The sequence below is a fragment of the Homo sapiens genome, chromosome 9, assembly GCF_000001405.40.
Source record: "Homo sapiens chromosome 9, GRCh38.p14 Primary Assembly".
NCBI classification, from domain to species: Eukaryota; Metazoa; Chordata; class Mammalia; order Primates; family Hominidae; genus Homo; species Homo sapiens.
Genome location: NC_000009.12, coordinates 5,101,935 through 5,126,665, shown reverse-complemented (window position 1 = coordinate 5,126,665; position 24,731 = coordinate 5,101,935). Strand labels below are relative to the sequence as shown.

The 24,731-nt window shown below is 39.9% G+C and overlaps 2 protein-coding genes and 6 pseudogenes across 10 annotated transcripts in view; 1 reads left to right on the top strand and 7 right to left on the bottom strand.

Moving 5' to 3' along the window:
- JAK2 (Janus kinase 2) overlaps nt 1-24,731 on the bottom strand; it is a 145,559-nt gene that overhangs the window by 3,283 nt on the left and 117,545 nt on the right. For all 9 annotated transcript variants that reach the window (NR_169763.1, NR_169764.1, NM_001322194.2 and 6 more), the window contains 2 exons: nt 3,545-3,662; nt 220-333 (listed from right to left, as the gene is read on the bottom strand). Coding sequence is in view for 7 of the 9 variants with exons in the window: in NM_001322194.2 (NP_001309123.1) it covers nt 220-333; nt 3,545-3,662 (232 nt within the window). In the remaining 2 variants the exon portion in view is untranslated. The remainder of the gene's footprint in view (nt 1-219; nt 334-3,544; nt 3,663-24,731) is intronic.
- INSL6 (insulin like 6) overlaps nt 1-24,731 on the top strand; it is a 193,664-nt gene that overhangs the window by 58,974 nt on the left and 109,959 nt on the right. The window lies entirely within an intron of this gene.
- On the bottom strand, nt 11,757-13,214 carry IGHEP2 (immunoglobulin heavy constant epsilon P2 (pseudogene); annotated as a pseudogene).
- On the bottom strand, nt 13,245-15,805 carry TCF3P1 (transcription factor 3 pseudogene 1; annotated as a pseudogene).
- On the bottom strand, nt 15,912-17,143 carry MTND5P14 (MT-ND5 pseudogene 14; annotated as a pseudogene).
- On the bottom strand, nt 17,376-18,729 carry MTND4P14 (MT-ND4 pseudogene 14; annotated as a pseudogene).
- On the bottom strand, nt 18,737-19,028 carry MTND4LP6 (MT-ND4L pseudogene 6; annotated as a pseudogene).
- Nucleotides 19,098-19,432, bottom strand: MTND3P14 (MT-ND3 pseudogene 14; annotated as a pseudogene).

Here is a 24,731-nt window from a genome sequence, read left to right as displayed (position 1 = left end):
ACCAAAATTAAATGAACACTAAGGGCCATCTTTTAATTGGTGGAAGACATTAATTTTCAATACAGGGCACATGTCATAACCATGCCTTGTTCCACAGTCATCTGATTATGCTGTTTATCTGGAAGCTCCGCACATTAAATTTCAGGAAGTGAACTGAAGTCCTTGAGTAAAAAGTAAAAGAAAATGCATGACTACCCTGGATTAAAAAAAAATTGTTACCTCATCTGGGCATCCATCTGGTCTTGGTAATCTTCCATTATTCTTCAAAAGTTCTATCAAATGGAACACGATCATCTGTCCTTGTTTGTCATTGCCAATCATACGCATAAATTCCTAAAACAAACCCACTTTCAATATTTTTTGTACATTTAATTTGTAGCAAAATTCTTTCTCAATTTCCTCCAGTCAATGGGAAAAAATTTAGTATATGTGTGCTTTTGTATGTTTTCAAACCTTTTCAAAACAAACTACTTTTAGGATCAAAAACATAAGGCTGTTAAATATGGAACTTCTATAATTTCCATTTCCATAGCTGTAATAAACTCAACACAAATCCCCTGAGGAGGGCTCAAAACACATGAACTAAAAACATATTTCCTTTGAGTTTTTTGTTGTTAAAAAACTCATATTTTTATCATATTACATTTCAATTGAAATAAAAAGTTGAATATAAAAGAGAATATAAGAAAAAATGAATGAATAAGCATAAATACAACAAAGAAAACTTTCATATGTCAAAGTTTATAAAATTAAAATCTGAATTATAAGCTAGGAAAATACTTAAACATCATTTACTTATTTTCAATATAGACAGCTCTTATAAATTGGGAAAAAAAATTACAAATATAAAGATAGGCAAAGCACAGAAGAGATAATTCACATATATACATACCCACCCTAAACACCCAACAAATATATAGTCAACCACATTAAGAAAAGAAATGGAAATTAAAATATATATAACTTCTCCCCTATCAACTTGGCAAAAGTACATAAAAATATAATAACCAATAGTGGCAAATGATGAAATGTACATCCCTATGCATTGCTGTTGAGATATAATTTGGCACAGCTTTTCTAGAAAGCATTTTGAAATTAAAAAAATTTTAAAATAGTTCATAACTTTTACTTATACTTTTATTCTAAGATAATTATCAGAGATAAATATAAATATTTATGCATGAGGATGTTCACTATGTTCACTGAAGTGTTACTTAAAAGACTGAAGAATGGAAAATGATTGTTCAGACATATATAGCCTTATGATGGAATGCTACTCAGCAATTAGAAAACATATTTGCAGTACATTTTTCTAATACAGTAAATTACCCATGCTGTAATACTTCATGAAACAGAAGGAGAGCAAACTGCACAGTATGACCTTAATTTTATAAAATAATATATATTTATATAAGTGAACTTTTATAAAAGTTATAAAAGTTTTATATACTTCTTTGTATATACTTTTATACACAAAATGAAGCCTGAAAGGTAACATACCACAATATTGAGGTGGTCTTCTCTGAGTAATTGCATTAGAGATGATTTTTATTTTTTCATACTTTTCCATATTAAAAAAAATTCTATGATGACCAAGAGAAAAATTACTTTGGAAGGTTTATTTTAACTTATGCAATAATTCCTAGAATGAATTAGCTTACTGGATTTAATAAAAGTAATATTAAGAGACTGTACTAACTAGCTTCCCAATATCCCCTTTTTAAAAATTCAAGCTAGTTTAGGAATAGGTTTGGGATTATTTTGTTTGATATTGCCTTAAAAATAAGCAATAAAAGCTCTAAAGTGAGTCCTAGGCTTACTATTCTTTGGATAAATCCTTTCTCATGTTAAAAAAAAACTTGAATGTATGTTCTTGTTGATTTTGTCAAAGATCAGTTGGCTATAAATTTGTGGCTTTATTTCTGGGTTTTCTATTCTGTTCCATTGATCTATGTGTTTGTTTTTTATATGAGTACCATGCTGCTTTGGTTACTGTAGCCTTATAATATAATTTGAGGTCAAGTAATGTGATGCTTCCAGCTTTGTTCTTTTTGCTTAGAATCGCTTTTGCTATTAGGGCTCTTTTTGGTTCCCTATGAATTTTAGGATTGTTTTTTCTAATTCTGTGAACAAATGACATTGGTATTTTGATAGGAACTGCATTGAATCTGCAGATTGCTTTGCGCAGTATGGGAAAGGACACCCTTTTCAATAAATGGTGCTGGTAAATTGGATTGCCATATGCAGAAGAATGAAACTGGACCCATATTTATCACCATATAGAAAAATTAACTCGATCGATTACAGACTTAAATGTAAGATCTGAAACTAGAAAAATACTAGAAAAAAAACCTAGAGAAAACTTTAATGGAAATGAGTGTAAACAAAGAATTCATGGCAAAGACCTCAAAAGCATAGGCAACAAAACCAAAAATAGACAAATGAGACTTTATTAAGCTAAAAAATTTCAGCATAGCAAAATCAATAATCAACAGAATGAACAGAAAACCTGCATAATCGGAGAAAATATTTGCAAACTTTGTATCTGACAAGGAACTACCATCCAGAATTTATAAGGAACTCAAGCAATTCAACCAAAACCCCCTAATAATCGTGTTAAAAAGTGGACAAAGGAGATCAATAGACATTTTCAAAAGAAGACACCCAAACTGACAAGAGGCATATGAAAAAATGCTAATCACTAATCACCAGAGAAATGCAAATTAAAATCACAATGAGATATGCCTTATTCCAGTCAGAATGACAAAAAAAAAAAAGAGAAAAAATTACCCCAGTGAGATATGTCTGACTCCAGTCAGAATGGAAAAAAAAATGAGAGAGAGAAAAAATAACAGATGTTGGCAAGGGTGTGGAGAAAAGGGAACTCTTATACACTGTTGGTGAGAATGTGCATTTGTACAACCTCTATGGAAAACATTATAAAGATTTCTCAGAGACCTAAATATAGAACTACCATTCGATCCAGCATTCCCACTATGGGGTATCTACCTAAAGGACAAGAAATCACTGTATCAAAAAGATACCTCCACCTGTATGTTTATTGCAGCATTCTTCACAAAAGCAAAGACATGGAATCAACCTAAGTGTCCATCAGTGGATGACTGGATAAAGAAAATGTGGTATACATACAAAATGGAATACTATTCAGCCATAACAACGAATGAAATTATGTCTTTTGTAGCAACATGGATGGAGGTAATTATCTTAAGTGAAACAAATCAGCCATAGAAAGACAAATACCACGTTTTCACTTATAAGCGGGAGCTATATAATGTATACACATGAACGTAGAATGTGGAATGATAGACAATAGAGACTTGGAAGGGTGAGCCATTGGTGGAGTAGATGCTGAGAAATTATTTAAGGGATACAATGTATGTTATTAAGGTGGTGGATACCCTAAAAGCTCTGACTTCACCACTATGCAATGTATGCATGTAGCAAAATTGTACTTGTACCCCATAAATTTATAAAAATCAAACGAACAAACAAAAAACTGAAAGTAAATAAAAAGCACACTGACCGCTGGTGGACTTTTACTCTTCTCAATGTATGTGAAAAGTTCATACAGAACCACTCCAAAGCTCCAAACATCTGAGGCCACAGAAAACTTGCTCTCTGTCAGTGATTCTGGAGCATACCTGTAAATATATGAATAACATTTAAAAGACAGTTACTTGATATGTGGACTCTTGATTTTACCTGCAAATCATTGTATAAATTAAAAAAAAAAACATGTAGAGAAAAGAGTTATCACAGCAGGCCTGAGGCTTCTATGATTAAAAGGGCCTTTTTGCCTGGCACCTGTGAACTTAGATTTCAGGAGGGATTCCACAATTCCCTAAATAAGAGTGACTCACTATGCCTAGATTGTTTGTACAAACAATACGGTTTATGCTGACATCTACTTTTCTTCTGGGAGTATGTAACTTTAGTATGTGCCAGGCGGAGAGTGCCTAATTTTGCTTTATGTTATTTCCCTATAATGAATCATAACCATGAATATGGATATATGCTGAGTCCTGTGAGTCTTCCTAGCAAATCGTCAACCTGGGGATGGTCTTGGGAATCTCTGACATAGAAAGATAACTAAAATCCAAAGAAATTTATTTTTGTCTCTGTAGACAGCACCAAGGTTAACTGCAGAGTACCTTCTAAGAAGTGAAAATAAGCTGCTCTTTGCAAGTTAAGCTTTAAATGAATCCATATAAATATGCTGGAGAAAAAAATTGGTTCCAAGGCAAGACTTAAAGCTATAAAAGAAAGAACCTGTTAACCAGAAGAGGGGTGACTAAGGAATACAGAAAGGAAAAAGTCACAGCAATGGTGTCATTGTTCACTCAAGCATTAACACTATCCAAGGGAACGTTTTGGCCTAGTGGACTGTGAGTATCATGGTTCCATTGCTAAGTTTATCTTTATTATAGAGACAGCTACAGAGATGTGTTTTAGACTGATATTAAAAATGTGAATTACATAGATTTAATCTCTCCTTCAAAATCCCATTTAAGTTTCCTAATCTCCACAAATCCTTCCCTGCCTACTCCAGGTCTTATTGCCCTCAGGCCACTGAATTCCTATAGTACTGGCAGTCCATACTACGTAATTAAACATCCTAATGCTATATTCTTTTTACATTTAGTCTTTACAAATTTTACATATCTAGTTATGTTATTATCAAATGTATGTTAGTTTTATTCCACAAGGGGAATGCAAAGTTCTTGAAGACAGCACTATTCCCTCACTCCTTGCAAAATATGCTCTTCCTCTGGTTTTCATATAGCACTCATTGTAATTTCCCGCACATTTCCACAGCTGTTTTTTTCTGTCTGTTCTATCACTTATGTAAGGGTAAATACAAATTTAAAAAGAACAAAATTAATTCCCCTTGTTGAAAATAAGAAGAAAGACTCCTCCTTCTTTGTTCTTAGAGCATTCAGAAAACTTGTAAATTCTTTGTCTTTTTGAAGTGTATGTAAATCTTTTAAAAATCTCTTGCTTCAAAGCCTCTTGCCAGTTTTGTGACCCATGAATGTCTTTCTCAAGAACGTGTAACTATCTCTTGGGAATTCAGTCATCAAGGAAGATAGCACCCTTACTCCCAGTTTCTGTGGGAGTAGAAGCCTAACTTCAGCAGGAGCCTCCTTCCAAGCTGCAAAACTACCTCCTGTCATGAAGATATGAAAAGTGTATTTTCCTTTGTATAAAGCCAATTAGCAAAGTCACTCCAATTACCAAGTGAATTTAGAATAAACTACGTATGTGGCAAATAGTGCTGTCAAGTCTTCTTACTTGAGGACTAGTTAATGTTTATCCTAAGAACTTGAATGAAAGGGGTTATATCAGGTTGGCTATATAAAAGGGTGAGATTTCCTTCTGTCTTTGCAAATCTCTTAGGGGACTGCTTGTGATACACATCACATCCTGCTCTAATGCTTACTCAATCATAAAATTGTTTTCCTTCTATCTTTGTGGAAAGGTTTTCTGGGTTGGAAGATTTTGTTTTCAATTATACTTTCCCAACACTACTACTACTATTCTGCCTCTTCTAAATTGAAGGTTTCCCAGGGTCTCTTCATCAGATTTATTCCTCTCTTGGTTAAAAACTTTCCCTTAGATAGTATCATCCACCTATATACTAAAGTCTCCCAAATTTATAACCATATCTTTGACCTTTGTTTAGTGCTCCAGACTTTTAGAACATTTCCACATTAAAGATCTATAGGCAAACAGAATTCCATCCTCTTTCCAAAACTTGCTGATTATTTTGTTTCTTATGCAATAAATAGCATCACAATCTATTTAGCTGCTCAATTTGAAAATCTTAATTATTTTTGACGCATCTTTCACTCCAGTGTCTAATGACCCACTAAGTCCCTTTAGAGTATAGCTTAGAAATATCTCCAATCAGTCTCCTAACCCATTGTTACAGTTTACATCACATCCTTATCTCATGACTAGCACAGAGGTCTTCACACAAGGTGAAGAATAATGTACAAAGATCATCCAATGGGTACTTCTGTAGTAAAAAGAGTAAAGGATCCTCCAGGAGTCCAAAATCCTGTTTCACCGATTTTTTACAACATTTAAGCAGAGGCACTTTTTCCCCCAGTTATTACCGTCAACCATATTGTTAGCTTAAAACAAAAGAGCCTTTTCGAACAAGAAAAACAATATAGATAACAAAGTTTCTTTTAAATGAAATTGAGTTTTTAAAAAAATGATATCATGGGCAAAATCCTGTGAATAAAAATTGAGTTCTTTCAGACTTCAGATTTAGTGTTTGCTATGTGTCTCCTCCAAAATTCAGGTGTTGTTAATGTGATGGTATTAACAGGTGGGGCCTTTAAGAGATGATTACGCCATGAGGGCTTCTCCCTCATGAATAGGATTAAGGCCCTTATGAGAGGCTTCATGCAGCATTTGGCCCCTCTCGCCCTTCCACTTTTGTCCATGTGAGGACATGGTGTTCCTCCTCTCTGAAGGAGGAAGCAGCAAGGCTCCATCTTGGAAAGAAGAGAGCAGCTCTCACCAGACGCCTGAACCTGCCAGCACTTTTTTCATGGACTCCTAACCTCTAGAAGTGTGAGAAATAAATTTCTGTTCTTTATAAATTATCCATTTTCAGGTATTCTGTTATAGCAGCATAAAGGGACTAAGACAGTGTTTATTATTCAATAAGTTAGCTCAAACTTATTTTATCAATTCATATTCTAAAATATTTACATAAAATTTAATGAACTTCATTTCATTGTATAAAATATTTATTTTCTACTTGCAAATATAAAAATAAAACTATATGCTAACTGCCTGATTTGCTTTTAGCAGTATATATTTTTTGTGTTCATTAAGTACATATGAAAATTTTGATCATGAGGAAAAATAAGTTATTTCTGATTTTCATACAAGTTGCTTCTAATTATTCCCCAAAGTCAGAATTCACTTCATACCTCCCCCTAACACATTTACTGAAGGAATGACCATGCCATGTACCATATACCTTACTTCATAAGTTATAATCTTAGCCATATTTTACTCTGTATTATTTATTGCAAATTAAGTAATGAGAAATTATCTTATTTTCATAATATGAAATTAATTATGCCAGATATATATATCATCTTCAGCTTATCCTGACTGCCCTCATGATTTTTTCACATGTATAGGCAGAGATACAGGTCCCAAAGCTTATATAATTTGAAGCCTTTTTTTTTTAGGCTTTCATTATGACAAAGAATACAAAATTATACATGAAAGTGCATAATTTTCTATTTAAAATTAGAAAGGAACCTTGGAAGGAGGACCTCTGGATATGCTTCATTAGCTTCATAATAAACATACCTCCATGCATTTGTTCTGTCATTTGTTTCTCAGGTTTTAAAAAAATCACATATTATTAATATATTTAGTGACTTGAAAAATGAAGTCTGAGTTTTTCTGCCAGAAATTAAGTGATTTGTTTGATGCCTGGCATTACCAAATGGGTTGTATGAAGGACATTCTTCACAAAATCTACTCAACCTTTGAGGTAGCTGAGAGGTTTGCTGTGTTTAAATCATATATTTAAAACATGATAAAATATGTTAATAATAATGTATTAATAATAGTCTGTTTTTTCAAACTTTTCTGAATGTATTAGTTTAAACAAGGTACATCCACGTGAAAGTGTAACATATAGTTGGAATTAATTTTAAAAGCTTTTTGGTATACTTTTCAGAAATTGAGAAAACAGATGAACCTGATGACTGGTTAGTAAACTCATTTTTGAAAGTCAAGTGGTTTTAATTCTCTGCTTTTAATAAAATTGAAACATAATGGATCTGATCAAATGAAACTGCCCAATAACAGATAATTTTTAATGGTATATTACTGTACTTTTTTCCTGCATATCTCAGAAGGCGTCATAGAAATGAATGATACTATTATAACAAAACTCCTTCCATTCCTGTCCACTCACTTACACAAACAAGTTTTCTCAGCGTTTACATCTGTAAAGTGCAAAATGAACACAGAATTTATGCTTAATCTTGTCCCATTATAGAAATAAATAATATTCATCCGAGGATATACAAACCAATTGGAGGGGAGGGATTGTTCCATTCACCAATAAAATTTTTAAAGCAATTATCCAAATTTGTTATTTACATTGCTTTGGAAAACTGTATCCTAGTAACTTCAATGATAACCCAGAAGAAAAATGTGAATAGTTACAAGTTTGTTGGTCACAGGAAAATTTTTAATTAATTTCAACTTACTTATATACATATCTTGGTTACAAAGAAAATAGGTGATCATAAGATTATCCAAATACAAAGTGTAACATATTATGCAAAATTTGGAATGAGAAGGGAAGTGGGAATACTATTTTAAAGAGAAAAAGGAATGATACAAAGTTTGTACAAAAAAATAAAAGTCTATTCATATAATCTTTTTAAGTGGGTGATAAGTGGGTATCAAATTGCTGCACTATTTATTTGTTTGTTTGAGATGGAGTCTCGCTCTGTCGCCCAGGCTGGAGTGCAGTGGCGAGGTCTCCGCTCACTGCAAGCACTATTTAGATTCAGTTGGACACATTTAAAGGATTGACATAGCTGTTATTTAAATGTCAATATTTACAGTACTTTAGAAAATACATTATAACTACTTACAAAGAAAAAAATTAGCTATCAATTTAAAAATGTGTAAGAGGATGTGGTTTTTCTAAATTCTTTTAGTGAGCATATATACTTAAAAGGTTTGAAAACCAGTGGCCTAGATCCTCATAAAATCTAATTAGCTGCCTCTCTACTATTAGCCTCTCATTAATACAACGTCCCCTCTGTCAGTAGTTCTCAAAGCTTTTGATCTCAGGCTTCCTCGTATACTCTTAAAAATTACTGAGGTTGCCAAAAAACTTTTGTTTCTGTGAGTTATATCTACCAGTATTTACCATATTAAATATTAAAGCTAATAAAATATAAAAATATTTATTAATTTATTTAAGATAAAACCATTACCTGTTAACATAAGTAATGTATTTTATGGAAAACAACTATTTCCAAAATAAACTTTGATAAGAGTCACATTGTTTTACATTTTTGCAAGTCTCTTCAATGTTTGGTTAAATAGAAAACATATCTTATTGCCTCTGGAAAACTATACTTATGAAAAAATGAGTGAAAAGAGCAAATAACATCCATTATTATGAAAATATTTTTTACTTCACAGACACCCTAAAGTCCCCACACTTTCAGAACTGCTGTTCTATAACAAAAGTAGAGCTATCTTTCTAAAATATGAATCTCACCATGTTATTCCCCTGGATAAAGCCTCTAATTTCCCACCTTACGCACTGTCTACTAAAGAAGGTCTGAACTCATTAACATGATGTACTGGGCGTCCATGTATGCTGCTATAACAGAGTACCTGACAATGGATAATTTATAAAGAACAGAAATTTATTTCTCATACTTCTGGAGGTTGGGAGTCCATGATAAAGGTGCTGGCAGGTTCAGGTGTGTGGTGAGGGCTGCTCTCTGCTTCCAAGGGGAGCCTTGTTGCCACATCTTTTAGAGGAGAGGAATGCCGTGTCCTCACATGGATGAAAGTGGAAAGGCAAGAGGAGCCAAATGCTGCATGAAGCCTCTTATAAGGGCCTTAATCCCATTCATGAGGGAGAGGTCAATTCAACCAATCGTTGAAATGTCATCTTAGTTATCTTACATAAATCTTCAGCTGAATTATTTGTACTGTTATGTTTTCCCAGTACCTTAATTATTGCACTTACACTTATTGCACTTAATTATTGAAAGTGCCATATTATACATATGACTTTTCCTAATTATGAGCTCTTGAAGGGACTATGGGTAGTGGACCTGTCAGTTGAATTTGCCTATCACGTCAAACTTTTCCTTTTAGTTCAGCCTTTCTACTAAGGGACAGTCCTTTTCTGATGCTAAGCCTATCTTCATATCCCTACCTCCCTGTATAGTATTTGGAGCACAGTAGAGTCTTAATAAATATTTATTAGCTTGTATTCATTAAGTATAACCAAATCTCTGAATCTTCATATAACTAATATTTTTTGATTGCCAGCTAATTTTATTTAACCTCTTTAATTTTTCATTCTGAAAACAATAAAAACAATTAAATTCATGTATCACTGGGGATATGGCCAAAACAGATGATTATTTTTAGATGAGTCTTACTTTTTAGTTTCACTCATACCCTAAAAGTAATTAGATGAACGCAGTTCTAATGTTTATCATGACGACATTTCCTCAAAAAGTATTTTTAATATTTATTATGAAAAATTTCAAACCTACCCAAATTAGAGAACAATTAATGCCAGATTAAAGCATTATCATGGTTAGGAAGGCTTATAAGCATGAACTCTGGGATCAGACTTTTTGGGTTTAAATCCTGGTCCAGTGATTTACTAGTCATGCCACCTTGGGTAAGCTATTCAGTTCTCCATGCTTAAAATAGAGATAATAATCATACATGTTCTCCAAGGGTTGTTATGAGGATTAAATGAGATTATCCATAAAATGCATTTAGCCCAATGTAAGCCTACAATAAATGTTCACTGTTTTTTTTTTAAATTTTATTATACTTTAAGTTTTGGGATACATGTGCAGAAGGTGCAGGTTTGTTAACGTAGGTATACACGTGTCATGGTGGTTTGCTGCACCCATCAACCCATCAACTACATTAGGTATTTCTCTTAAAGCTATCCCTCCCCTAGCCCTCCACCCAACAACAGGCCCTGGTGTGTGATGTTCCCCTCCCTGTGTCCATATGTTGTCATTGTTCAACTCCCACTTATCAGCGAGAACAAGTGGTGTATGGTTTTCTGTTCCTGTGTTTGCTGAGAATTATGGTTTCTAGCTTCATCTTTGTCCCTGCAAAGGACATGAACTCATCCTTGTTTATGGCTGCATAGTATTCCATGGTGTATATGTGTCACATTTTCTTTATCCAGTCTATCATTGATGGGCATTTGGGTTGGTTCCAAGTCTTTGCTATTGTGAAAAGTGCCACAATAAACATACATGTGCATGTGTCTTTATAGTAGAATGATTTATAATCCTTTGGGTATATACCCAGTAATGGAATTGCTCAGTGAAATGGTATTTCTAACTCTGGATCCTGGAGGAATTGCCACACTGTCTTCCACAATGGTTGAACTAATTTACACTCCCATCAACAATGTAAAAGCATTCCTGTTTTTCCACATCCTCTTCAGCATCTGTTGTTGCCTGACTTTTTAATGATCGCCATTCTAACTGGCATGAGATGGTACCTCACTCTGGTTTTGATTTGCATTTCTCTGATGACCAGTGATGATGAGCTTTTTTTCATATGTTTGTTGGCCACATAAATGTCTTCTTTTGAGAAGTGTCTGTTCATATCCTTTACCCACTTTTTGATGGGGTTGTTTTTTTCTTGTGAACTTGTTTAAGTTCTTTGTAGATTCTTGATATTAGCCTTTTGTCAGGTGGCTAGATTGCAAAAAATTTTTCCCATTCTGTAGGTAGCCTGTTCACTCTGATCAGTTTCTTTTGCTATGCAGCTGTTTAGTTTAATTAGATCCCATCTGTCTATTTTGGCTTTTGTTGCCATTGCTTTTGGTGTTTTAGTCATGAAGTCCTTGCCCATGCCTATGTCCTGAATGGTATTGCCTAGGTTTTCCTCTAGGGTTTTTATGTTTGTTTGTTTGTTTGTTTGTTTTCTGAGCAGGCACTGTTTATTGGGGGTGGCTTCCTGGGGTCATTGCAACAGTGGACAGAAGGTCTGGCCAGCCCTTCCCACCACACAGCTGGACAGAGCCCTAGTGGGGAGGAAGGCAGGAGGACATTTAATGGGATTTACAGACAACAGTTACTTGACGGTCTGTGAGCCAGTCGCTGTCTCATGGACCACAGAGCAGATGAACTCGTTTTTCTGTTCCCATTCAGCCCTGGTAACCTCCAGGCAGCTGAAGACTAAGACGCCAGAGCCCTTGGTTTTGCGGGGCTGCGTCATGCTGTGCCAAGTGTCCGGGAGCTGCACCTCGTTGTACAGCCACTGCACCAAGATGTCCTTGGGCCAGAAGTTCTGGATCAGGCAGGTGAGGGTGCGCTTGTCCTGGTTCCTCGGCTCTTCTAGCGTTGCAAACACGTAGACCTGTGGGGGAGCACATGGGCCGCTGATCTTGGTCGTGGACTGCAGGTGGGTGTGGGTCACCCTGCACTGGTAGGTCTCCCCCTTGATCCAGTCTCTGGTGCCCACCAGCAGGGTGGACGTGATGGTGAACGTGCCATTGCACTGCTTCTCTTGCCTTAGGATGACCTGAGCCACAGACTTCCCACTGGCCTGGGACCAAGTCAGCTTCACGTTCTCCTTGCTGGGTGCCAGGTCCACCACCAGACAGGTGATTGTGGGCAACTTGCGGATGAACAGGTAGAAGGGGCTGGACCGGCTCAGGTAGGTGCTCACCCCTTGCGGGTTAGAATCTGCACACTTCTTGGCACTGTCCTCAAAGGTGTTACCTTGATAGGTGACCTGGCAGGTGTAGGTGTGGTCGGGCAGCCAGCGCTTCTGGGTGAGGGTGAGCTTGCTTTGTGTGGAGGCCAGCTCATCCTCCAGTATGGGAGAGGCGATGGACCAGTTCACATCCACGACCTGCCCATCCTCCAGCCAGGTGATGCTGATGGCACCTGGGTGTACCCAGAGATGAGGCACAGGAACTGGATGGTCGGGGGTAAGTGTCCACTGCCATCACAGGAGGACTGTAAGATCTTCACGGTGGGGAGGGTGAAGTCCCTGGAGTAGATGCTGAAGGTACTGACCTGGTCTGCGGACCACAGAGTGTGTGCCACGCTGCAGGTGAGCGTTTGGCCCACGCACCCGAGGCAGTCAGCTGGCTGGTGATGGCGTAATGGCCAGAGGGCGTGAGGGTGGTGGCTGGGAAGGTCCCAGCGCTCCTGTTGAGGGAGCCTGTGTCCCAGGTCACAGTCACTGACTTCAGGAAGTAGCCTGTGGCCAGGCAGCCCAGGTTCATGGAGGTGGCATCAGAGGCAATGTCTTTGCAGCAGGGGATCAAGGGGAAGATGGATGGGCCCTGTGTGGAGGCGGGACAGTCAAGATCAGCTGAGACCAGCCCACCAGGGGAGTCACCCTCTGAAGTCTACTCTAGGCCAGTCTGATCCAGCCTGGCCAAGGTCAGTCCGGGTTTTTTTTTTTTTTTTTTTTTTTTTAAATAACTAATGTTCTTTTTATTTTCCTTAAAAAAAATTACGCTTAGGCACAATTTGCTGCTGGCTTTTGAAGAATAAGCCAAGTTTCCACAGCATCTCCCTCAAGTGATATGTTACGATTTCTCCACATTTTATAGTTAAGGCATTTTTTTCTTTTCTGACAAAGTGTATGTTTTGTTGCTTGCATTCAGGTTTTGTTTACTGGAAAAAAAAAAAAAAAAAAAAAAAAAAAAGCTCCTGCCAGCCCAGACAACAGGGCCAAGATGCAGTTTCAGGGTCCATGGGGCAGGTCACAGGGTGACATGGTGGCTGAGATACGGGGGCAGGGGGAGCGAGGGCAGTGAGGGGTGAGCCGGGGTCCCAGGGAGCTCCTGGACCCAGCGTCACCTTCCTCACCCCCATCACTCACCTTCCTTGCCCCCATCACTCTGAGCCTCATCAGGTCGGTGTTGGCTCAATGCTGACAACAGTTGTGTGAGGTGTGGATGTGGATGAAGCCCAGGGCCTCAAGTGGGCGTTCTGGGCCCAGCCCACGGGGCTGAGGGCGGGTGGCTCGTCCCACGGAGGCGTACCTTTCACACGTGCCCAGCGGGGTTGTGGGCTTCACTCAAGCCCAGGTGGGCAGCTGAAAGCACCATCTGGGGGCCTCCGAACACGCGCGACACCTTCTCTTCTCGCCGTTTCAAACAGGCTGTTTTGGGATTCAGGTTCCGCTCTCGCACTTGCTGCTCCAAATTCAGGATGACCGAGACGGCCTGGTGCAGGATAAGGAGTTTGGTCTGGGGCTTCTCGCTGTTGAGGTGCAGTTGCCACATGCGCCCCAGCTCCTTAAGAGCCCTCTTAAGGGACCCGCAGCCGCTCCCTGGCGTTATTGGCCACCTGCTTCTCCCACTCGGCCTTCTGCTCTGGGGGGAAAAGGTCATCTTCCTCCTCGTCCTTGTCTGGGCTGGTCCGGTCCCGGGGGTCCTTCAGCTCCTTCTTCTCCTCTTGAGTGGTCAGCCGCCGACGTGTTCTCCTCATCCTCCTCCTCCCGCTTGATTTCCCCAGTGGCCTGCTCGCCCTAGCCCACTGCAGGAGTCGGAAGGCCAAGAGAGGTCGGGGAGGGCGCCTGGCTAGCTGGAGAGGGCAACATGGATGTGCATGAGGCTGGCGCTGCCCGCAGGGCCGTCCTCAGGGTGTTCGCCTCCAACCAGGCCTGCGTGCTGCCCCCACCAGCAGCATGGGGCCGGCGAAGCCCAAGGCCAGCGCCCGGTGGCCGGGTAGCAGCGTGTGCACGTTGCTAGCCGTGCCCATGGCGTGGCTGCAGAGCACGTGGATGCCCTCGTTCAGGTAGGTGGTCTTCTATCTTACTCTCCAGGCCGTGGAGACCCCCGTCGTAGCTGGGTGATAAGGCACCAGGGACTCCTGCTCCAGGCTAGTGCGACGTCCCTCCCAGGCCCTGGGGGGAGCCCACGGCGGTGGAGGGGCTGGACCACAAGTTATTGCTTGAGTGATCCGGAGAGTAGATTGAGGCCAGGCCTTCCCGAGGGCGTCCCCAGAGCTGCTGGCTGTGGTCCCTCGGGAGCCCAGGAGGTTGTCGGCCCCGCCGACAGGCGTGTGGCTGGAGACGCCGCCTACGTGGCTCCGGGGGCCAAGGAGAAGGTGGATGCAGCCGGAAGCCCACCGTTCACTTCTCCTCCGTGCAGCCGGTAGCCCACGCGCTCGTGCTGGTGCAGGCCGCCAAACGTGCTGCTGCCTCCGCCACTGCCCACAGGGCCGCTGCTGGGCGGGAGGGACGAGGGGCATGAGCCCCCGCCCAGCATGGGGCCAAAGCCCACCTGGCCCAGGGAACTCCAGAGCTCGGCTTAGGGGTGCAGGCTGCCATCTGCCATGTAGAAGGGGGCGGGACAGGCGCTGCTGGGCGTCTTGGCGGATGGATAGGCGGCGGCATCCCTACCGTACTCCTCACCTGAGCTGGGCAGGTACGCCGAGGATGGAAGACCAGGCGGGACCTTCCCGACCTTCGTGGGCTGCGTGTCCAGGCCGCTGTCCGCCTCTGTCCGCCAGAGCTGCTGGCGTAGGAGGGGTAGTACCGGGAGGTCCCCTTCATGCCTGAGGGGGACAGGGGTCCGGGGCTGCTGAGGGCCAGCTTGCCCGGCAGGAAGCCAGCCTGAGTCAGGCTGCGCACGCCTGCGTCTCTACCAAAGGAGGAATAGGCCCGCGCTAGCTGCTCTTGCCTCCGAGTCCCGGTCCCAGGAATGTGAATGGAGAGTGGCTGCCGTGCGACTCAGCAAGTTGAGCGCCTTCGCTGAACGTCCAGCTGGGGTCAAAGGAGGAGCTGTTCTGGTCGCCGCTGCCCCAGGAGCCTGAGCTGGGCCAGTTCTCAAGACCTGAACCTCTGAATTGCGCCCCGGCCAGGGAGGCGGGCCGGCCCTTCCCGTTGGCAACGGGCAGCGGGAACATCATGCTGAAGTCCAGGTTACTGAGCTCCTTGTCCGTGTCCACGGATGCCATCCTCTGCGGCTGGTTCATTCTCTTGGGGCCAGAGCGGGCATCTCAGACATGGAAACCCTGCTGGGCGCGGCGGCATGAAGCGTCCCCCCCACCTTCCCCGAACAAACGGGCGATGCAGCAGGGCCCCCAGGCGTCGCGCGTGGCCCGGGCCCTTACCACTCCTGCATGGCCAGTCCGCAGAGCAAAGAAAATAACACGGGTACTATAGCCAGCAGTTAAGGAGGTGGCAGTAAGAGTAATAGAAAGGGCTCAGGCGTTGGTATATGACAGTATTTGTGGTTTCGATAATAAGGTCTTTAGAGTAAAAGCCTGTGAAGAAAGGCATATCTGTAAGTGCAAGGCTACCAATAATAAGGGAAGAGGAAGTGAAGGGTAAAGTCTTGAATAGTCCTATTTTTCAAATATCTTGTTCATCATTGAGATTGTGGATGATGGAGCCTGAGCATATAAATAATATAGCTTTAAAAAAGGTGTGGGTGCACATGTGAAGGAATGCTAGATGTGGCTGATTAATGCCAATTGTGACTATCGTAAGGCCCAGCTGACTTGAGGTGGAGAATGCTATGATTTTTTAAATATCATTTTGTGTTAGAGCGCAGATTGCTGTAAATAAGGTGGTAACAGCCCCTGGAGATAATGTAAAGGTTTGGGTTCAGAGGTTATTTTCTATTAAAGGGTAGAAGCGGATGAGCAGGAAAACTCCTGCTACAACTATAGTGCTGGAGTGGAGCAGGGCTGAGGCTGGGGTTGGGCCTTCTATGGCGGATGGAAGTCAGGGATGGAGGCCGAATTTAGCTGACTTTCCTGCTGCTGCTAAGAGAAGGCGAATTAATGGAAGGGGATTAGAGGTAGGGTTTAGAATGAATGCTTGTTGAATCTCTCATGTGTTGGAGGAAAAGAGGAACCATGCTATAACTAAAATAAAACCAATGTCGCCGATGCGATTGTGCAGGACTGCTTGGAGGGCTGCTGTATTAGCATCTGCTCGGCCATATTGTCAGCCAGTTAGTAAGAAAGACATGATTCCTATACCTTCTCATCCGATAAAGAGTTGAAAGAGTTTGTTGGTGGAATATTGGAAGAATACTGTGATGAGGAAAATATTTGAAAAATTGATTAATGTTAGGGTCTGAGTTTATATATCATATTGAGAATTCTACAGGTAACAAATAGTGCTACTAGAATAAATATTATGGAGAAGTAGTCTAAAGCTTAGTGAGAGTTTAAGAGTTGGGATTGTCATTCAATGTCAGTTTGAGATAATGACTTCTTGGTCTGTATATATAAACGTTGGGATGAGGCTAATGGTGAAGGCGCATGTGATGGCTATTTTTATGTAATTTGGGTATGAATCTTCTTTTGCAGGGGTTGACTAACGTAATAATTGGTGTGATTAAGGCGATTAGGGCTATTATAGTAGTGGAAAAATACATATTTGTTACTTTTCTTTGGAGTTGCACCAATGTTTTTGGTTCCTAAGGCCAACGGATGACTCCAATCCTTTAAAAGTTGAGAAAGCCATATTGTTAGGCATGGGGGCATGAGTTAGCAGTTCTTGCATACTTTCTTGGTAGATAAGAAGTTGCAGGCTTCTATTATTAGATCCACAATTTAATGTTTTGGTTAAACTATAGCTACAGCATGTAAAGCCCATAATAATTTTAGGATTTAGGATAATAGAAGAATAGGTGTAACATGTATAAATATTAATGTATTTTCTCGTGTAAAGGAAGGTTTAACTGTTAATGTAATATGTAAGTGTCCCTCATTGTGTTGTGATTGGTACATGTAGGGAGTAGAGGGTTGTAATTAGTATATTAAGTCCTGTAAGCATAATAGTGATGTTTGATCAGGAGAATGAAGCCATGATCACAGAGAGTTCCCTTACTAGATTAATGGTAGGGGTAAGGCAAGATTAGTGAGATTTGCTAGAAGTCATCATGAGGCTATATCAGTGGGAGGAGTATTTGAAGGCCTCAGGTAAGTATATGATTCCGTTTTGGACTCACTCGTAGTTGGAATTTGCTAGGCAGAATAACAGGGATGAAGTGACTCCATGGGTAATTATAAGGGTGACGGCACCTGTAAAGCTTCAAGGGGTTTGGATTAGGAGAGCTATGATGACAAGTGGTATATGGCTTACAGAGGAGTAGGCAATAACTGATTTTACATCGGTTTGTAGACAAATGGAGCTTGTCATAACTATCCCTCATAGGGATAGTGTGAGGAAGGGGTAGGCTATATATTCTGTTAGGGGGCTGAGGATAAGGGTAAGCCGTATTATACCGCAGCCGCCTAGTTTTAGGAGTACCGCTGCAAGTACTGTTGAGCCGGCAATAGGGGCTTCTACATGGGCTTTTGGGAGTCACAGGTGAAGTCCGAATAGAGTTATTTTTACTATAAAGGCCATAATACATGCTAGTCATATAAGATTATTGGATAAGGAGGCTAACAGTTCTTGGTCAGTAAATATCATTACTAGCATATTTAGAGAATCTGAAGTATTTAAAGTGTAGACAAGTGTAACAAGTAGAGGAAGGGACCCTACTAGTGTGTACAATAGGAAATATGAGCTTGCATTGAGGCGTTCTGGTTGGTTCCCTCAGCGGGTGATAATAATAATTAGGGTAGGAATTAGTGTGGCTTCAAAGAAAATATAAAATATAATTAGTTCTGTGGCTGTGAATGCTATAATTTTAAAAAATCTGCAGGGAAATCAATATAGAAATATAGAGCTTTTTTGTGGGGGTGATTCATTGAACAGTTAATATTGGCTTGCTAGGATTATAAAAGGTAATAGGCTGTTAAAATTAGGAGGGGTGACATCAGCAGATCAGAAGAGAAAACTAGTGAGAAGTTGGATGAGTTACTGTTGAATTGGTTAAAAAACAATAGGGTGATGAGGCTGATAAGTAGGCTGTGGATGGTCATGTTAATTCAGATTATAGAATTTTTAGAGAATCATATTATTGGTAACAGCATAATTGTCGGAATAATTTTTAGCACTGAAGTAAATTTAGATTTTGTGTGTAATCTAGGCCGTATGTGTTGGAGATTGAAACTAATAAGGCAAGGCCCACTGCGGCTTCACAGGCAGCAAATACTAGGAGGATAATGGGTATTATAGATGCTAGAGTAAAATGTATATTTAAAGTTATAAGGGTAATTATGATAAATATTGACAGTATTATGCCTTCTAGGCACATAGGGATGATATTAGGTGGGTTTGATAGATTAATTTTACCAGTAGTGATATGGTATATGGTAATATAATGTTGATGTAAATAGAGGGCATTTGGTAAATATGGTTTATTATAATCTAATGAATCGAAATCATTTCTTTTGACTTAAACTATTTACCAATTCAATTCAATCTAACCCTTTTTGAGTTCTTTTGTAAATTAAGCCTAGGATTAAAATGATAACTAGTATAAGGGCTGTGGTGATTATTGTTGTTAGGTAATTTGTTTGAATAGCTCATGGCAGGGGTAGTATTAGAGCGATTTCTAAGTCTAAGAGGAGAAATGTGTTGGCTACTAGGAAGAATTTTATGGAAAAGGGGAGGCAGTTGGAGGTTATTGGGTCAAATCTGCCTTCATAGGGGCTGGATTTATCTATATAAATATTAATTTGTGGAAGTAAAAATGTAATTAGTAGTAGTAGTAGGGCCAGTAAGGTGTCGGTTACTAAGGCTAGTGTCAGGTTATTTAATATCTTTCAGATATTATCGAAACTAGTTGATTGGAAGTCAATGGTACTCTTTATACTAAAAGAGTAGGATCCTCATCAGTAGATAGAGACATATAAGAATAGTCATACTACATCTACAAAGTGTCAACATCAGGCAGTGGCTTCAAAGCCAAAGTGCTGGTTGGATGTAAAGTGATGTATATATATTTTTATTATACTTTAAGTTCTAGGGTACATGTGCACAATGTGCAGGTTTGTTACATAGATATACATGTGCCATGTTGATTTGCAGCACCCATTAACTCGTCATTTACATTAGGTATTTCTCCTAATGCTATCCCTCCCCCGGGCCCCTTTGTGTGATGTTCCCTGCCATGTGTCCAAGTGTTCTCATTGTTCAACTCCCACCTATGAGTGAGAACATGCAGTGTTTGCTTTTCTGTCCTTGCGCTAGTTTGCTGAGAATGATGGTTTCCAGCTTCATCCATGTCCCTGCAAAGGACATGAACTCACCCTTGTTTATGGCTGCATAGTATTCCTTGGGATATTTGTGGCATATTTTCTTATCCAGTCTATCATTGATGGGCATTTGGGTTGGTTCCAAGTCTTTGCTATTGTGAATAGTGCCACAGTAAACATACATGGGCATGTGTCTTTATAGCAGCATGATTTATAATCCTTTGGGTGTATACCCAGTAATGGGATGGCTGGGTCAAATGGTATTTCTAGTTCTAGATCCTTGAGGAGTCGCCACACTGTCTTCTGCAGTGGTTGAACTAGTTTACACTACTCCCACCAACAGTGTGAAAGTGTTCCTATTTCGCCACATCTTCTCCAGCATCTGTTGTTTCCTGTCTTTTTAATGATCACCATTCTAACTGGCATGAGATGGTATCTCATTGTGGTTTTGATTTCCATTTCTCTGATGACCAGTGATGATAAGCATTTTTTATATGTCTGTTGGCTGCATAAATGCCTTCTTTTGAGAAGTGTCTGTTCATATCCTTTGCCCACTTTTTGATGGGGTTGTTTTTTTCTTGTAAATTTCTTTGTAGATTTTGGATATTAGCCCTTTGTCTGATGGGTAGATTGCAAAAATTTTCTCCCATTCTGTAGGTTGCCTGTCCACTCTAATGGTAGTTTGTTTTGCTGTGCAGCTGTTTAGTTGAATTAGATCCCATCTGTCTGTTTTGGCTTTGGTTGCCTTTGTTTCTGGCGTTTTCATCATGAAGTCCTTGCCCACACCTATGTCCTGAATGGTATTGCCTAGGCTTTCTTCTAGGGCTTTTATGGTTTTAAGTCTAACATTTAAGTCTTTAATCCATCTTGAATTAATTTTTCTATAAGGTGTAAGGAAGGGATCCAGTTTCAGCTTTCTACATATGGCTAGCCAGTTTTCCCAGCACCATTTATTAAATAAGGAATCCTTTTCCCATTTCTTGTTTTTGTCAGGTTTGTCAAAGATCAGATGGTTGTAGATGTGTGGTGTTATTTCTGAGGCCTCTGTTCTGTTCCATTGGTCTATCTCTGTTTGGGTAGCAGTACCATGTTGTTTTGGTTACGGTAGCCTTGTAGTATAGTTTGAAGTTACGTAGTGTGATGCCTCCAGCTTTGTTCTTTTGGCTTAGGATGGTCTTGGCAATGCAGGCTCTTTTTTGGTTCCATATGAACTTGAAAGTAGTTGTTTCCAGTTCTATGAAAAAAGTCATTGGTAGCTTGATGGGGATGGCATTGAATCTATAAATTACTTTGGGCAGTATCGCCATTTTCACGATATTGATTCTTCCTATCCATGAGCATGGAATGTTCTTCCATTTGTTTGTGTCCTCTTGTATTTCATTGAGCAGTGGTTTGTAGTTTTCCTTGAAGAGGTCCAGAGGTCCTTCGCATCTCTTGTAAGTTGGATTCCCAGGTATTTTATTCTCTTTGTAGCAATTGTGAATAGTTCACTCATGATTTGGCTGTATGTTTGTCTGTTATGGGTGTATAGGAATGCTTGTGATTTTTGCACATTGATTTTGTATCCTGAGACTTTGCTGAAGTTGCTTACCAGCCTAAGGAGATTTGGGGCTGAGATGACCAAGTTTTCTAAATATACAGTCGTGTCATCTGCAAACAGGGACAATTTGACTTCCTCTTTTCCTAATTGAATACCCTTTATTTCTTTCTCTTGCCTGATTGCCCTGGCCAGAACTTCTAACACAGTGTTGAATAGGAATGGTGACAGAGGGCATCCTTGTCTTTTGCCAGTTTTCAAAGGGAATGCTTCCAGTTTTTGCCCATTCAGTATGATATTGGCTGTGAGTTTGTCATAAACAGCTCTTATTATTTTGAGATACATTCCATCAATACCTAGTTTATTGAGAGTTTTTGGCATGAAGGGCTGTAGAATTTTGTCAAAGACCTTTTGTGCATCTATTGAAATAATCATGTGGTTTTTGTCATTGGTTCTGTTTATGTTATGGATTACGTTTATTGATTTGCAAATGTTGAACCAGCCTTGCATCCTAGGGATGAAGCCGACTTGATCGTGGTTGATAAGCTTTTGGATGTGCTGCTGGATTGGGTTTGCCAGTATTTTATTGAGGATTTTCACATCGACGTTCATCAGGGATATTGGTCTAAAATTATTTTTTTGTGGTGTCTCTGCTAGGCTTTGGTATCGGGCTGATGCTGGCCTCATAAAATGAGTTAGGGAGGATTCCCTCTTTTTCCATTGATTGGAATAGTTTCAGAAGGAATGGTATCAGCTCCTCTTTGTACCTCTAGGAGAATTCGGCTGTGAGTCCATCTGGTCCTGGACTTTTTTTGGTTGGTAGGCTATTATTGCCTCAATTTCAGAGCCTGTTATTGGTCTATTCAGAGATTCAACTTCTTCCTGGTTTAGTCTTGGGAGGGTGTATGTGTCCAGGAATTTATCCATTTCTTCTAGATTTTCTAGTTTATTTGTGTAGAGGTGTTAATAGTATTCTCTGATGGTAGTTTGTATTTCTGTGGGATCGGTGGTGATATCCCCTTTACCATTTTTTATTCCCTCTATTTGATTCTTCTCTCTTTTCTTCTTTATTAGTCTTGCTAGCAGTGTATCTATTTTGTTGATCTTTTTGAAAAACCAGCTCCTGGATTCATTGATTTTTTGAAGAGTTGTGTCTCTATCTCCTTCAGTTCTGCTCTGATCTTAGTTATTTCTTGCCTTCTGCTAGCTTTTGAATTTGTTTGCTCTTGCTTCTGTAGTTCTTTTAATTGTGATGTTAAGGTGTCGATTTTAGCTCTTTCCTGCTTTCTCTTGTGGGCATTTAGTGCTATAAATTTCCCTCTACACACTGCCTTAAATATGTCCCAGAGATTCTGGTATGCTGTGTCTTTGTTCTCGTTGGTTTCAAAGAACATCTTTATATCTGTCTTCATTTCATTATTTACCCAGTAGTCATTCAGGAGCAGGTTGTTCAATTTCCATGAAGTTGTGCGGTTTTGAGTGAGTTTCTTAGTCCTGAGTTCTAATTTGATTGCACTGTGCTCTGAGAGCCAGTTTGTTGTGATATCTGTTCTTTTACGTTTGGTGAGAAGTGCTTTACTTCTATGTGGTCTATTTTGGAATAAGTGTGATGTCGTGCTGAGAAGAATGTATATTCTGTTGATTTGGGGTGGAGGGTTCTGTAGATGTCTATTAGGTTCACATGGTGCAGAGCTGAGTTCATGTCCTGGATATCCTTGTTAACCTTCTGTCTCATTGATCTGTCTATTATTGACAGAGAGGTGTTAAAGTCTCCCATTATTATTGTGTGGGAGTCTAAGTCTCTTTATAGGTCTCTAAGGACTTGCTTTATGAATCTTGGTGCTGCTGTATTGGGTACCTATATATTTAGTATAGTTAGCTCTTCTTGCCCAGTTGATCCTTTTACCATTATGTAATGGCCTTTTTTGTCTCTTTTGATCTTTGTTGGCTTAAAGTCTTTTTTTTCAGAGACCGGGATTGCAACTCCTGCTTTTTTTTTTTTTTTTTTTTTTTTTTTTTTTTTTGCTTTCCCTTTGCTTGGTAGATCTTCCTCCATCCCTTTATTTTGAGCCCATGTGTTTCTCTGCACATGAGATTGGTCTCCTGAATACAGCACAGTGATGGGTCTTCAATCTTTATCCAATTTGCCAGTTTGTGTTTTTTAATTGGGGCATTCATCCCATTTACATTTAAGGTTAATATTGTTATGTGTGAATTTGAACCTGTTATTATGATGTTAGCTGGTTATTTTGCCCGTTAGTTGATGCTGTTTCTTCCTATCATCGATGGTCTTTACAATTTGGTATGTTTTTGCAGTGGCTGCTACTGGTTGTTCCTTTCCATGTTTAGTGCTTCCTTCAGGAGATCTTGTAAGGCAGGCCTGGTAATGACAAAATCTCTCAGCATTTGCTTGTCTGTAAAGGATTTTATTTCTCCTTCACTTATGAAGCTTAGTGTGGCTGGATATGAAATTCTGGGTTGAAAAGTCTTTTTCTCTAAGAATGTTGAATATTGGCCTCCACTCTCTTCTGGCTTGTAGAGTTTCTGCTGAGAGATCCGCTGTTAGTCTGATGGGCTTCCCTTTGTGGGCAACCCGACATTTCTCTCTGGCTGCCCTTAACATTTTTTTCCTTCATTTCAACCTTGGTGAATATGACAATTACGTGTCTTGGGGTTGCTCTTCTCGAGGAGTATCTTTGTGGAGTTCTCTGTATTTCCTGAATTTGAATGTTGGCCTGCCTTGGTAGGTCGGGGAAGTTCTCCTGGATAATATCCTGAAGAGTGTTTTCCAGCTTGGTTCCATTCTCCCCGTCACTTTCAGGTACAACAATCAAATGTAGATTTGGTCTTTTCACATAGTCCTGTATTTCTTGTAGGCTTTATCTTGTTGCTTTTTACTCTTTTTTCTCTAAACTTCTCCTCTCGCTTTATTTCATTAATTTGATCTTCAATCACTGATACCCTTTCTTCCACTTGATCAAGTCGGCTAGTGAAGCTTGTGCATGCGTCCTGTAGTTCTCATGCCATGGTTTTCAGCTCCATCAGGTCATTTAAGGTCTTCTCTACACTGTTTATTGTAGTTAGCCATTGGTCTAATCTTTTTTCAAGGTTTTTAGCTTCCTTGCGATGGGTTTGAACATCCTCCTTTAGCTTGGAGAAGTTTGTTATTACCAACCTTCTGAAGCCTACTTCTGTCAGCTCGTCAAAGTCATTCTCCATCCAGCTGGCAAGGAGCTGCAATCCTTTGGAGGAGAAGAGGCCCTCTGGTTTTTAGAATTTTCAGCTTTTCTGCTCTGGTTTCTCCCCATCTT